Consider the following 13,470-nt stretch of genomic DNA (forward strand, 5'->3'; position numbering starts at 1 on the left):
GCTAATTTTTGTATTTTTAGTAGAGACAGGGTTTCACCATGTTGCCCAGGCTGGTCTCGAACTCCTGACCTCAGGTGATCCGCCCACCTCAGCCTCCCAAAGTGCTGGGATTACAGGCGTGAGCCACCATGCCTGGCTGGTTATTTATTGGTTTACCTGCTTGCCATCTCACTAAAGTGTCGGCACCAAGGCCAGGTGGGGTGGCTCATGCCTGTAATCCTAGCACCTCCTGAGGCTGAGGTGGGAGGATCTTTTGAGCCCAGCAGCTCAAGACCAGCCTGGGCAACAGAGTGAGACTCTGTCTCTAAATTAAGTGTCAGCACCATGGGAACAGGAAACTGGTTTTGATAACTGCTTTATCCAGCGACCCTAGTACACAGTAGATGCTTAATAAATGTTTGCTGAAATAATGTTTTCTTTTTCTTTTTTGAGTCAGGGTCTCATTCTGTTGCCCAGGGTAGAGTGCTGTGGCACAATATCTCAGCTCACTACAAACTCCGCCTCCCAGGTTAAAGAGATCCTCCTGCCTCAGCCTCCCAAGTAGCTGGGATTACAAGTGTGTGCTACGCCTAGCTAATTTTTTTTATTTTTAGTAGAGACGGGCTTTTACTACTTTGCCCAGGCTGGTCTTCAACTCCTTGGCTCAAGCAATCCACCTGCCTTGGCCTCACAAAGTGCTGGGATCACAGGCATAAGCCACAGCACCTGGCCAGAATATAGTAATATTTTAAAATGTATTTTAACATCTGATACTTTTTAAAAAAAAACAAAATTCCTGGGCTATTTTAATTGGTTGATTCTTTCAGTTAAAACTGTGGAATTCTGTCGCGTTTCCCCACAGAAACTCCATTGGAATTTTCTTCTTTGTTCCTTTGAGACAAAGTTTACTCTGTTGCCGATGCTGGAGTTCTGTGGCAAGACCTATGGCTCACTGCAGCCTTGAACTCCCAGACTCAAGCAATCCTCCCACCTCAACCTCCCGAGTAGCTGGGACTACAGGCATGTGCTACCACGTCCAGCAGGTTTCTTATTTTTGTAAGGACAGGGTCTCTCTATGTTGCCCAGGCTGGTCGCAAATTCCTGGGTTCAAGTGATTCTCCTGCCTCAGCCTCCCTAAATAGTGGCATAACAGGCATGAGCCGCTGCACTTGGCCTCCATTGGAATGTTTAAAATATATGTGTGTGTGTGTGTGTGTATATATATATATATATATATATATATATATATATAATTTTTTTTTTTTTTTGAGACGGAGTCTTGCTCTGTCACCCAGGCTGGAGTACAGTGGTGTGATCTCCACTCACTGCAAGATCCGCCTCCCGGGTTCATGCCATTCTCCTGTCTCAGCCTCCCGAATAGCTGGGACTATAGGCACCCACCACCACACCTGGCTGTTTTTGTATTTTTAGTAGAGACGGGGTTTCACCGTGTTAGCCAGGATGGTCTTGATCTCCTGACCTCGTGATCTGCCTGCCTCAGCCTCCCAAAGTGCTGGGATTACAGGCGTGAGCCACCGCACCCAGCCCTAAAATATTTTTATTGTGGCCGGGTGCGGTGGCTCACGCCTGTAATCCCAGCACTTTGGGAGGCCAGGGCAGGCAGATCACCTGATATCGGGAGTTCGAGACCAGCCTGACCAACATGGAGAAACTCCGTCTCTACTAAAAACACAAAATTATCCCAGTGTAGTGGTGCATGCCTGTAATCACAGCTACTTGGGAGGCTGAGGCAGGAGAATCACTTGAACCTGGGAGGCAGAGGTTGCAGTGAGCCGAGAGTGAGCCATTGCATTCCAGCCTGGGCAACGAGAGTGAAACTCTGTCTCAAAAAAAAAAAAAAAAAAAAAAAAATATATATATATATATATATATATATATATATATATATATAGTTGTAAAATAAAGCGTCCATAGATGCACACACACAGCAGATTCAAGAAACCACATAAAACAAATGTATACTCTTTCCCTAAGTGGCCTGAGGTAATCTGGGAAAATGGTTCGCTATTTACTTGACCCAGAGAACCCCACAAAATCATGCAAATCAAGAGGTTCAAATCTTCATGTTCACTTGGAGAACACTCATGAAACTGCCCAGGCCATCAAGGGTATGTATATATGAAAATCCACGAAGTATCTGAAAGATGTCACTTTACAGAAACTGTGTGTACCATTCCAACATTACAATGGTGGAGTTGGCAGGTGTGCCCAGGCCAAGCAGTGGGGCTGGACACAAAGTCAGTGGCCCAGAAAAAGTGCTGAATTTTTGCTGTACATGCTTAAAAATGCAGAGAGTGGCCGGGCATGGTGGCTCACACGTGTAATCCCAGCACTTTGGGAGGCTGAGGTGGGCGGATCACCTGAGGTCAGGAGTTCGAGACCAGCCTGGCCAACACGGTGAAACCCCATCTCTACTAAAAATACAAAAATTAGCTGGGTGTGGTGGCACGTGCCTGTAGTCCCAGCTACCAGGGAGGCTGAGGCAGGAGAATTGCTTGAACCCGGGAGGCGGAGGTTGCAAAGCCGAGATTGTGCCACTGCACTCCATCCTGGGCAGTAGAGCGAGACTCCGTCTCAAAAAAAAAAAAAATGCAGAGAGTAATGCTGAACTTAAGGGTTATATGTAGATTCTCTGGTCATTGAGCATATCCAAGTGAACAAAGTACCTAAGATGCGTCGCCAGACCTACGGAACTCCGGTCGGATTAACCCATGAATGAGTTCTCCCTGCCACACTGAGATGATTCTTACTGAAAAGGAACAGATTTTTCCTAAGCCAGAGGAGGAGGTTGCCCAAAAGAAAAAGATATCCCAAGGCCGGGCGCAGTGGCTCACGCCTGTAATCCCAGCATTTTGGGAGGCCGAGGCGGGTGGATCACCTGAGGTCGGGAGGTCGAGACCAGCCTGACCAACATGGAGAAACCCCATTTCTACTTAAAATATAAAATTAGCCGAGCGTGGTGGCGCATGCATGTAATCCCAGCTACTCAGGAGGAGGCTGAGGCAGGAGAATCATTTGAACCCGGGTGGCAGAGGTTGCGGTGAGCCGAGATCGCACCATCGCACTCCAGCCTGAGCAACAAGAGTGAAACTCCATCTCGGAAAAAAAAAAAAGAAAGAAAAAGATATCCCAGAAGAAACTGAAGAAACAAAAACTTATGGCATGGGAGTAAATTCAGCATTAAAATAAATGCAATTAAAAGTAAAAAACAAAAACAAAAAACAAAACAAAACCAACAACAACAACAAAAAACCCCACAAATGTATAGTTTAAGGAGTTCCTCCAGGGGGTAGTTCTCAACCAGGAGTGATTTTGCCCCATGGGAGAATGTTTGACAATATCCAGGAGCACTTTTGGGTAATGAGGAGGCGGGTGTTTTTGGCCTCTAGAGGGCGGAGGCCAGGAATGTAGCTAACCACCCTGCAATGCACAGGCCATCCCCAAGGACCAAGAATTATGTGGCCTGAATGTCAAGAGTGCTAAGTTTCAGAAACCCAGTGCTGAGATGAAGGTCATCGTCGCCTCCACCCGGGCCAACCAACTGCACTTGCCAGCTACCCCAGAAGCGCCTCCGTGGACTATGTCCTAGTCACAGCTGCCCCTCACTCCCTAAGTAACCACTGTTTTGTGACTTTTATTTATTTGTTTGTTTATTTATTTATTTATTTTTGAGACAGAATCTCGCTCTGTTGCCCAGGCTGGAGTGCAGTGGCATGATCTCAGCTCACTGCAGTCTCCTGGGTTCAAATGATTCTCCTGCCTCAGCCTCCTGAGTAGTTGAGATTACAGGTGCCCGCTACCATGACCAGATTTTTTGTATTTTTAGTAGAGATGGGGTTTCACCATGTTGACCATGCTGGTCTTGAGCTCCTGGCTTCAGGTGATCCACCTGCCTCGGCCTCCCAAAGTGCTGGGATTACAGGCATGAGCCAACACGCCCGGCCCTGTGTAGGTTTCTGTTTGTTTGCTTATTTATTTATTTCGAGACAGAGTCTCACTGTATTGTTCAGGCTGGAGTGCAGTGGTGCAATCAATGCTCACTGCAGCCTGGAACTCCTGGGCTCAAATGATCCTTAGCCTCCTGAGTAGCTGGGAGACAGGTGAGCGCCACTGCACATGTATAGTTTTATTATCCAAATGTGAATCTGTAGACACTGGAGTTTAGTCTTGCCCATTCAAAAAGAAAATGATATGTCTTTTAAGCTCCCCCTGCCCGTTTTTTTTTTTTTTTTTTTGAGACGGAGTCTTGCTCTGTTACCAGGTTAGAGTGCAGTGGCGTGATCTTGGCTCACTGCAACCTCCATCTCCCAGGTTCAACCGATTCCCCTGCCTCAGCCTCCAGAGCAGCTGGGACTACAGGCACAAGCCACCATGCCCAGCTAATTTTTTGTATTTTAGTAGAGATGGGGTTTCACCATGTTGGTCAGGATGGTCTCGATCTCCTGACCTTGTGATCGACCAGCCTCAGCCTCCCATAGTGTTGGGATTACTGGCACGAGCCACCGCGCCCGGCCTAAGCCTGTTTATTTATTTATTTATTTATTTTTAATTTTATTTTTTTGAGATGCAGTTTCACTCTTGTTGCCCAGGCTGGAGTCCAGTGGTGCAATCTTGGCTCACTGCAACCTCTGCCTCTTAGATTCAAGCGATTCTCCTGCCTCAGCCTCCTGAGTAGCTGGGATTACAGGCATGCGCCACCACGTCCGGCTAATTTTTGTATTTTTAGTAGAGATGGAGTTTCTCCATGTTGGCCAGGCTGGTCTGGAACTCCCGATCTCAGGTGATCTGCCCACCTGGGACTCCCAAAGTGCTGGGATTACAGGTGTGAGCCACCGCGCCCGGCCTAAGCCTCTTTTAATTCACAGGTTCCTCTCCATCCCTCCCTTTCCCTTACAATAGAAGCATTGCATGCCTGGGCATGGTGCCTCACACCTGTAATCCCAGCACTTTGGGAGGCCGAGGCAGCAGGAACGGTTGAGCCCAGGAGTTCGAGATTATCCTGGGCAATATAGTGAGACCCCCCATCTCTACAAAAACTACAAAAATTAGCTGGGTATGGTGGCATGCACCTGTAGTCCCAGCTACTGGGGAGGCTGAGGTGGGAGGATCGCTCGAGCCCAGGTGATCAAGGCTGCAGTGAGCTGTGATCACATCACTGCACTCCAGCCTGGGAAACAGAGTGAGACCCTGTGAAAGAAAGAAAGAAAGAGAGAAAGAGAGAAAGGGAGGAAGGGAGGAAGGGAGGAAGGGAGGGGAAGGGAAGGAGGAAGGAAAGAAGGAAGGAAGGAAGGAAGGAAGGAAGGAAGGAAGGAAGGAAGGAAGGAAGGAAGGAAAAAAAAAAAAAGGATCGCACAATTGGCTGCTTGTCCTGAAGTGTTTCCTATGGTCTAAATGTTGCTGATCCTACACTCATTGTGTAGTTAGTTCAGGATGTTCTTCTGTCCTTGGTATTCCCTGCAAATTGGCGGTTGCTTCTAGAACTGGGGTCAGACTCAGATTTGATTACTTTGACATGACTACTGATGGCGTTCTGTTCTTTCACTAGGAGGCTTGTGATGTTTGGCTGTGCCTCCTTTCCTCAGTCCAGTAGCCATCGAGAATTAACTCCTTAGAGATTACAAAATAGTGATGTCATATCTCTTGTGTTTCTTCCTTCTTTATTTACTTATTTAATTTTTTTTATGAGATGGAATCTCGCTCTGTCACCCAGGCTGGAGTGCAGTGGCACAATCTCAGCTTACTGCAACCTCTGCCTCCCAGGTTCAAGTGATTCTCCTTCCTCAGCCTCCCTAGTAGCTGGGATTACAGGCTTGTGCCACCACGCCTGGCCATTTCGTCCTTATTTGTTAGTTGAATTCTTTTTTTTTTTTTTATGCAAGATACTTCTTCTTATGTACTATCTGGTTTTCCAGTGACACTTTTAGAGAAGAAAGGCAAGATAAAAACCTGATTATTGGCCAGGTGCAGTGACACATTCCGGTAATCCCAGCACATTGGGAAGCTGAGGCAGGAGGATCGCTTGAGCCCAGGAGGTCGAAGTTGCAGTGAGCCATGATTGAGCCACTGTACTGCAGCCTGGGCAACAGAGTGAGACCCTGTCTCATAACATAAAATCATTATGGCTGGCACAGTGGCTCACGCCTGTAATCCCAGCACTTTAGGAGGCTGAGGCGGACAGATCACTTGAAGCCAGGAGTTCGAGACCAGCCTGGCTAACATGGTGAAACCCTTCCTCTACTAAAAACACACAAAAAATTTAGCCAGGCATGGTGGTGCATGCCTGTAGTCCCAGCTACTCCAGAGGCTGAGGCATGAGAATCACTTCTCTTGAACCCAGGAAGCAGAGATTGCAGTGAGCCAAGATCACACCACTGCACTTCAGCCTGAAAGACAGAGACTCTGTCTCAAAATAAAAAAGAAGAGAAAGGTAGGAGGGTCAGAGTTATAGAAGGTGTTATGATGGAAGCAGAGGGGTGTGTGTTTGTGTGTGTGTGTGTGTGTGTGTGAGAGAGAGAGAGAGAGAGAGAGAGACAGAGAGAGAGAAAAGGAGATTGGAAATTGCGGCCAGAGTGGTGGCTCATGCCTGTAATCCCAGAATGTTGTGAGGCTGAGGCAGGCGGATCACTTGAGTTCAGGAGTTCGAGACCAGCCTGACCAATATGTTGAAACCCTCGTCTCTACTGAAAATACAAAAATTGGCCAGGCGCGGTGGCTCACGCCTGTAGTCCCAGCACTTTGGGAGGCCAAGGCAGGCGGATCACGAGGTCAGGAGATTGAAACCATCGTGGCTAACACGGTGAAACCCCGTCTCTACTAAAAATACAAAAAATTAGACGGGCGTGGTGGCGGGTGCCTGTAGTCCCAGCTACTCAGGAGGCTGAGGCAGGAGAATGGCATGAACCCGGGAGGCGGAGTTTGCAGTGAGCCAAGATCGCACCACTGCACTCCAGCCTAGGTGACAGAGCGAGACTCCGTCTCAAAAAAAAAAAACAAAATTTAGCTGGGCATTGTGGCGTGCGCCTGTAATCCCAGCTCTTCAGGAGGCTGAGGCAGGAGAATCACTTGAACTCAGGAGGCAGAGGTTGCAATGGGCTGAGAGTGCAGTATTGCACTCCAGCCTGTGGTGGTGGGCGCCTGTAATCCCAGCTACTCAGAATCCCACCACAGGTGCTCAGCACACAGTAGACACTCAATAAATTTTCACTGAATGGAAAGATTGAAAGGTGATTTCAAGCTCCCTGCAGACCAAGAATTTCTGAAGAGTATTCCTGCCTAGCTAGCCAGTGGGGAGAGGTATAAGAAAGAAAAGGGGCCGGGCACGGTGGCTCATGCCTGCATGCCCAGCAATTTGGGAGGTTGAGGTGGGCGGATCACCTGAGGTCAGGCGTTGGAGACCAGCCTGGCCAACATGGCGAAACCCCATCTGTACTAAAACTAAAAAATGTATCCGGGCATGGTGCTGTGCACCTGTAATCCCAGCTACTCAGGAGGCTGAGGCAGAGGTTTCAGTGAGCGAAGATCGCGCCACTGCACTCCAGCCTGGGTGACAGAGCGAGACTCTGTCAAAAAAAAAAGAAAGAAAGAAAAGAGAGACAAAGAAAGAAAGAAAGAAAGAAAGAAAGAAAGGAGGGAGGGAGGGAAGGAAGGAAGGAAGAGAGAAAGGGGGGAAAAGAAGAAAGAAAAAGAGGGAGGGAGGGAAAGAGAAAGAAAGAAAAAGAAGGAAAGAAAAAGGAAGAAAGGAGGGAGGGAGGGAAGGATGGAAGGAAGAAAGAGAGAAAGAGGGGAGAAAAGAAAGAAAGAGAGAGAGGGAGGGACGGAAATAGAAAGAAAGAAAGAGAAAGAAAGAAAGAAGGAAAGAGAAAGAAAGAAAGAAAAGGAATTTTGCTTGCGTGGGTGAGGAAGATGCTCTTAGACCTCTTAAACAACTTCCCTCCTCCCCCACATTCCTAATACCCTGGGTGTTCATGGTAGAAAATGTGACCCTTCTCTCTCCCACCCTGTCCCAGGCTGAGGCTTGAGTCAGAAAAGAAAAGAGAGAGGGAGGAGGTTCCCGGGCACTCCAGAATACATTGAACCCCTTGGGAGCCACTTTCAGCTCCTTTGCCATTTTAGGGGCCTCCTGGAAACTCCAAGGCACCCCTGCCCCCATCTGGAATGCTTAACTGCCCAGAGAGACTGCGCCTGTCTCTGAACAGTTTTTTTTTTTTTTTTTTTTTTTTTTTTGAGACAGTCTCGCTCTGTCGCCAAGGCTGGAGTACAGTGGCGCGATCTCAGCTCACTGCAAGCTCCGCCTCCCGAATTCAAGCAATTCTTCAGCCTCAGTCTCTCCAGTAGCTGGGATTACAGGCACCTGCTATCAGCCCAGCTAATTGTTTGTATTTTTAGTAGAGACAGGGTTTCACCATGTTGGCGAGGCTGGTCTCAAATTCCTGACCTCAGGTGATCCGCCCACCTCTGCCTCCCAAAATGCTGGGATTACAGGCGTGAGCCATTGTGCCCGGCCTGTCTCAGAACATTGACACCCCTGACATGAGAGCTAATTGGCCCCAGTCAGGAGCTTCAAAAGACAGCATTGGCCAGTTGTGGTGTGCATGCCTGTAATCCTAGTGCCTCGAGAGGCTAAGACAGGAGAATTGCTTGAGGCTGAGAGTTTGAGACCAGCCTGGGCAACAAAGCAAGACCCTGTCTCTAGAAAATTTATTTATTTATTTTTGAGACAGAGTCTTGCTCTGTCGCCCAGGCTGGAGTGCAGTGGCGCAATCTCGGCTCACTGCAAGCTCCGCCTCCAGGGTTCAAGCAATTCCCCTGCCTCAGCCTCCCTAGTAGCTGGGATTACAGGCACCTGCCACCATGCCTGGCTAATTTTTTGTATTTTTAGTAGAGATGGGGTTTCACCGCATTAGCCAGGATGGTCTCCATCTGCTGACCTCGTAATCCACCCGCCTCGACCTCCCAAAGTGCTGGGATTACAGGCATGAGCCACTGCACCCAGCAGACATTTTTAAAAATTAGCTGGGGATGGTAGCATGTTCCCGTAGTCCCAGCTACTCAGGATGCTGAGATGGCAGAATTGATTGAGCCCAGGAATTTGAGGCTACAGTAAGCTATGATCACGCCACTGCACTGCAGCCTGGGCCAAGAGCAAGACTGTCTCAACCGGGGTGCAGTGGCTCACGCCTATAATCCCAGCAATTTGGGAGGCTGAAGCGGGTGGATCACTTGAAGTCAGGAGTTTGAGACCAGCCTGGCCAACATGGTGAAACCTCATCTCTACTACAAATACAAAAGTTAGTCGGGTGTGGTGGCGTGCGCCTGTAGTCCCAGCTACTTGGGAGGCCAAGGCAGGAGAATCCCCTGAACCCGGGAGGTGTAGGTTGCAGTGAGCCGAGATCGCGCCACTGTACTCCAGCCTGGGCGACAGAGCGAGACTCTGTCTCAAAAATCATCATCGTCGTCATCATCTCCACTTCCCCCTTGATTTACTCAGTCTTCTCGAGCCTCCCACAGCGGGCGGGCAGCCGCCAGGAGGCCTTGAACTTCCTCTCAGGCGCCTGGGATCAGCGGGAAAGGAGCGCGTCTGAGCGGCCAGAACAGCTGCTCTCGAGTTCACCACCAGAGGGCGCTGCTATCTAGGGTAAACCCCCCGGGGCCGCGGTTGTCAAACCGGGTATATACAGAGAAGGAATTTTCGGGGTGGGGGGTAGTGGGGGAATCTATCTCTAGCTTTTTCTTATTGTTGTAAAAATAATTTCCCAAAAATAAAAATAGGCTGGGCGCGATGGCTCACGCCTGTAATCCCAACACTTTGGAAGGCCGAGGCGGGTGGATCACTGGAGATCAGGAGTTCAAGATCAACATGGTGAAACCCAGTCTCTGCTAGAAATACAAAAATTAGCCGGGCATGGTGGCCAGCAGCTGTAATCCCAGCTACTCAGGAGGCTGAGGCATAAGAACCCCCTGAAGCTGGGAGGCATAGGTAGTAGTAAGTCGAGATCGCCCCACTGCACTCCAGCCTGGGTGACAGAACAAGACGCTGTCTCAAATAAATAAATAAATAAATCGTAAATTACAAAACAATGACAAGCTTTAAAAATAGGCCAGGTACGGTGGCTCACGCCTGTAATCCCAGCACTTTGGGAGGCCGAGGCGGGCGGATCATGAGATCAGGAGATCAAGACCATCCTGGCTAACACGGTGAAACCCCATCTCTACTAAAAATACAAAAAATTAGCTGGGCCTGGTGGCGGGCACCTGTAATCCCAGCTACTCGGGAGGCTGAGGCAGGCGAATGGCATGAACCCAGGAGGTGGAGCTTGCAGTGAGCCGAGATAGTGCCACTGCACTCCAGCCTGGGCGACAGAGTGAGACTCCGTCTCAAAAACAAAACAACAACAAAATTAAATGAAAAATAAAATAAAAGAGGTCACGGTTTTGGGCACCGTTAATTCCAGCTAGTGAGCAGGCTGAGATGGGAGGATTTCTTGGGCCCAGTAGTTCCAATCCAGCCTTGGCAACACAGCAAGACATCCCACCACCACCCCACGTGCCCTCCCCCGCCACCGTCTTAAAAGACAGAAAGAGAGATTCAATGGTTTGGAACTAAAGAGAACTAGGTTCAAATCTTTTTTTTTATCTCTTTTTTTGAGATGGATTCTGGCTTTGTCACCCAGGCTGGAGTGCAGTTGTGCGATCTTGGCTCACTGCAGCCTCTGCCTCCTAGGTTAGAGCGATTCTCCTGCCTCCGCCTCCCAAGTAGCTGGGAGGTAGCACTCACCACCATGCCCAGCTAATATTTTGTATTTTTAGTAGAGAGAAGTTTTCACCAGGTTGGCCTGGCTGGTCTCAAACTCCTGATCTCAGGTAATCTGCCCACCTCAGCCTCCCAAATTGCTGGAATTACAGACATGAGCCACCACGCCTGGCCTAGGTTCAAATCTTGACCCTTCTGAGCTGTGTGACTTTGTCCAAATTCCTAAAGGTCTCAGAAGCTCAATTTATCTCCTTTCAGGGACCGACTTGAGGTTGAGATAAAATGGATTACACAAGTGTCTGATGGTGTAAAGGTGGCACTAAATAAATGTACGCTGCTACAGTTATTATTTCCTTAGTGACTTCATAGCTGTCTGCCCTGCAATGTACAAGTTCCCAGACTGGAAGGAATTATGGGGAAAAGCTAATAGGGGAGGGTGGAAAGGCAACCCCGTTCCCTTCTGAGCACCAGCCCAGATTCTGAGTCATCCTTTCTGCCCTGAGTGTTTGAGGTCCTGCTCTTGGGCTGACCTTTCTTGGTGACCTGGATGTGAGTACAGTGTGGCAGGAAGACTGTGGTTAGTTGCTGGGGGCGGTAGAGGCCAGTCACTGGACACGATGTGCCATTACATAGTCCTAACAACCTTGTGGGCTTGTCTGAGAAGAATCCTGCATGTCTCAAGCCAGAGAGAATTTTTCATGCTCTTCCTTGAACCTGAGTCATCTATTTCCTGTACACTTTGTCTAGGACTCTGTCAAGCATCTCTCAGTCTTAGGACCCCTGCTCCAGGAATCCTTACCTAATGGGATTGACATCTTTTCTATACTCTTCTAGGCCTGTGTGCTTACCCCATTGCAGCATTGACCATCTAGGATTCAACTTATGTAGTTAAATCTTAGCACCATTCATGGTGCCAATGAGCAAACAGATATCATGTGCCTCCTGATATCATACACTGAGAAGGACACAACATCACTGCCAAAAATACATAACAGGCACCTTAAGGGGAAGAAACATCTGCATCAGACAAATGCAAAATGGAGGACGTGCTACAAAAAACCGGTGTGTACATCTCGAAAATATCAGTGTTTGGCCAGGCATAGTGGCTTATGCCTGTTGTCCCAGCTACTCAGGAGGCTGAGGTGGGAGGATCACTTGAGCCCAGGAGGTTGAGGCTGCAGTGAGCTGTGATCTCACTGCTGCACTCCAGCCTTGGTGACAAAGTGAGACCGTGTCTCAAAAAATGCCAGTGCCCTGCCTGGTATAGCGAATGCACCTGTATTCCCAGTTACTCAGTAGGCTGAGGCAGGAAGATTGCTTGAGTCCAGATTTGAGACCAGCCTCGGCAACATAACAACGACCCTGTCTCAGATTAAAAAAAAAAAAAAAAAGGACCAACAGGATATGACAATGAAATGCAGTGGATGATTCTGGATAGGGTCCTGCTCATAAAAAACATGGCTGTGAGGCCGGGCGCGGTGGCTTACGCCTGTAATCCTAGCACATTATAGTGTATCCGGGAGGATCATGAGGTCAGAGTTCGAGACCGGCCTGACCAACATAGTGAAACCCCATCTCTACTAAAAATACAAAAATTAGCTGGGCATGGTGGCGTGTGCCTGTATTCCCAGCTACTCAGGAGGCTGAGGCAGGAGAATTGCTTGAACCCAGGAGGCTGAGGTTGTGGTGAGCTGAGATCATGCCACTGCATTCCAGCCTGGGCAAAAGAGGGAGACTCAGTTTTTTTTAAAAAAACAAAACAAAACAAAAAACAGCTGTGGCCAGGCACAGTGGCTCATGCCTGTAATCCCAGGTCTGTGGGATGCCGGGGTGGGAGGATCGCCTGAGTTCAGGAGTTCAAGTTTGAGACCAGCCTGGGCAATGTAACTAAACCCTGTCTCTACCAAAAAATACCAAAATTAGCCTGGTGTGGTGGCATGTGCCTGTAGTCCCAGCTGCTCAGGAGGCTGAGGCAGGAGGATCACTTGAGCCCAGGAGTTGGAGGCTGCAGTGAGCTATAATCGCACCACTGCACTCCAGCCTGAATGACAGAGTGAGACCCTGTCTCCAAAACAAAGGAAAACAAACAGAAACACAAACCACAGCTGTTCAGGTCATGCTTGACACAATTGATGAAACTGGAATATGGACCATAGATTAGATAACAGTACTATGTCAGGGTCAAATTTCCTGAAATTGCTAGCTGTACCACGGTTATATAAACACTTTTTTTTCTTAGTAAAGGGCAAAAGGCACACGTTATGTGTGCAATATATCCTTAAGTGGGTCAGAAAAAGAAGATGTACAAAAAAGTGTGTATTATCTCACCCTGCATGAGTGTATTATATAAATATATAAGAATACGTCTCTATGTGAGTGTATTTTATCTATCTATGCACTTATGCACTTATGTATTACGTATACGTGTGTGTGTGTTGTTGTTGTTTTGTTTCTTGTTTTTTTTGTTTTTGAGACAGAGTCTCGCTCTGTTGCCCAGGCTGGAGTGCAGTGGCCTCATCTCGGCTCACTGCAAGCTCCACCTCCTGGGTTCACGCCATTCTCCTGCCTCAGCCTCCTGAGTAGCTGGGACTACAGGTGCCTGCCACCACGCCTGGCTAATTTTTTGTATTTTTAGTAGAGACGGGGTTTCACCATGTTAGCCAGGATGGTCTCGATCTCCTGACCTCGTGATCCACCCGCCTCGGCCTCCCAAAGTGCTG

General features: G+C 48.5%; 1 pseudogene, besides 1 other annotated feature; it reads left to right on the forward strand.

The window, feature by feature from the left end:
- Positions 1,977-2,813, forward strand: LOC100129682 (ribosomal protein L17 pseudogene; annotated as a pseudogene).
- Positions 9,611-9,690: an enhancer, noted in NCBI's record as "active region_13913". NCBI's record gives its function as "activates an Ori minimal core promoter by ATAC-STARR-seq in GM12878 lymphoblastoid cells {active_cell/tissue: GM12878}" and the evidence as "EXISTENCE:reporter gene assay evidence [ECO:0000049][PMID:35858748]".

Source organism: Homo sapiens, chromosome 19, assembly GCF_000001405.40.
Source record: "Homo sapiens chromosome 19, GRCh38.p14 Primary Assembly".
NCBI lineage: Eukaryota > Metazoa > Chordata > Mammalia > Primates > Hominidae > Homo > Homo sapiens.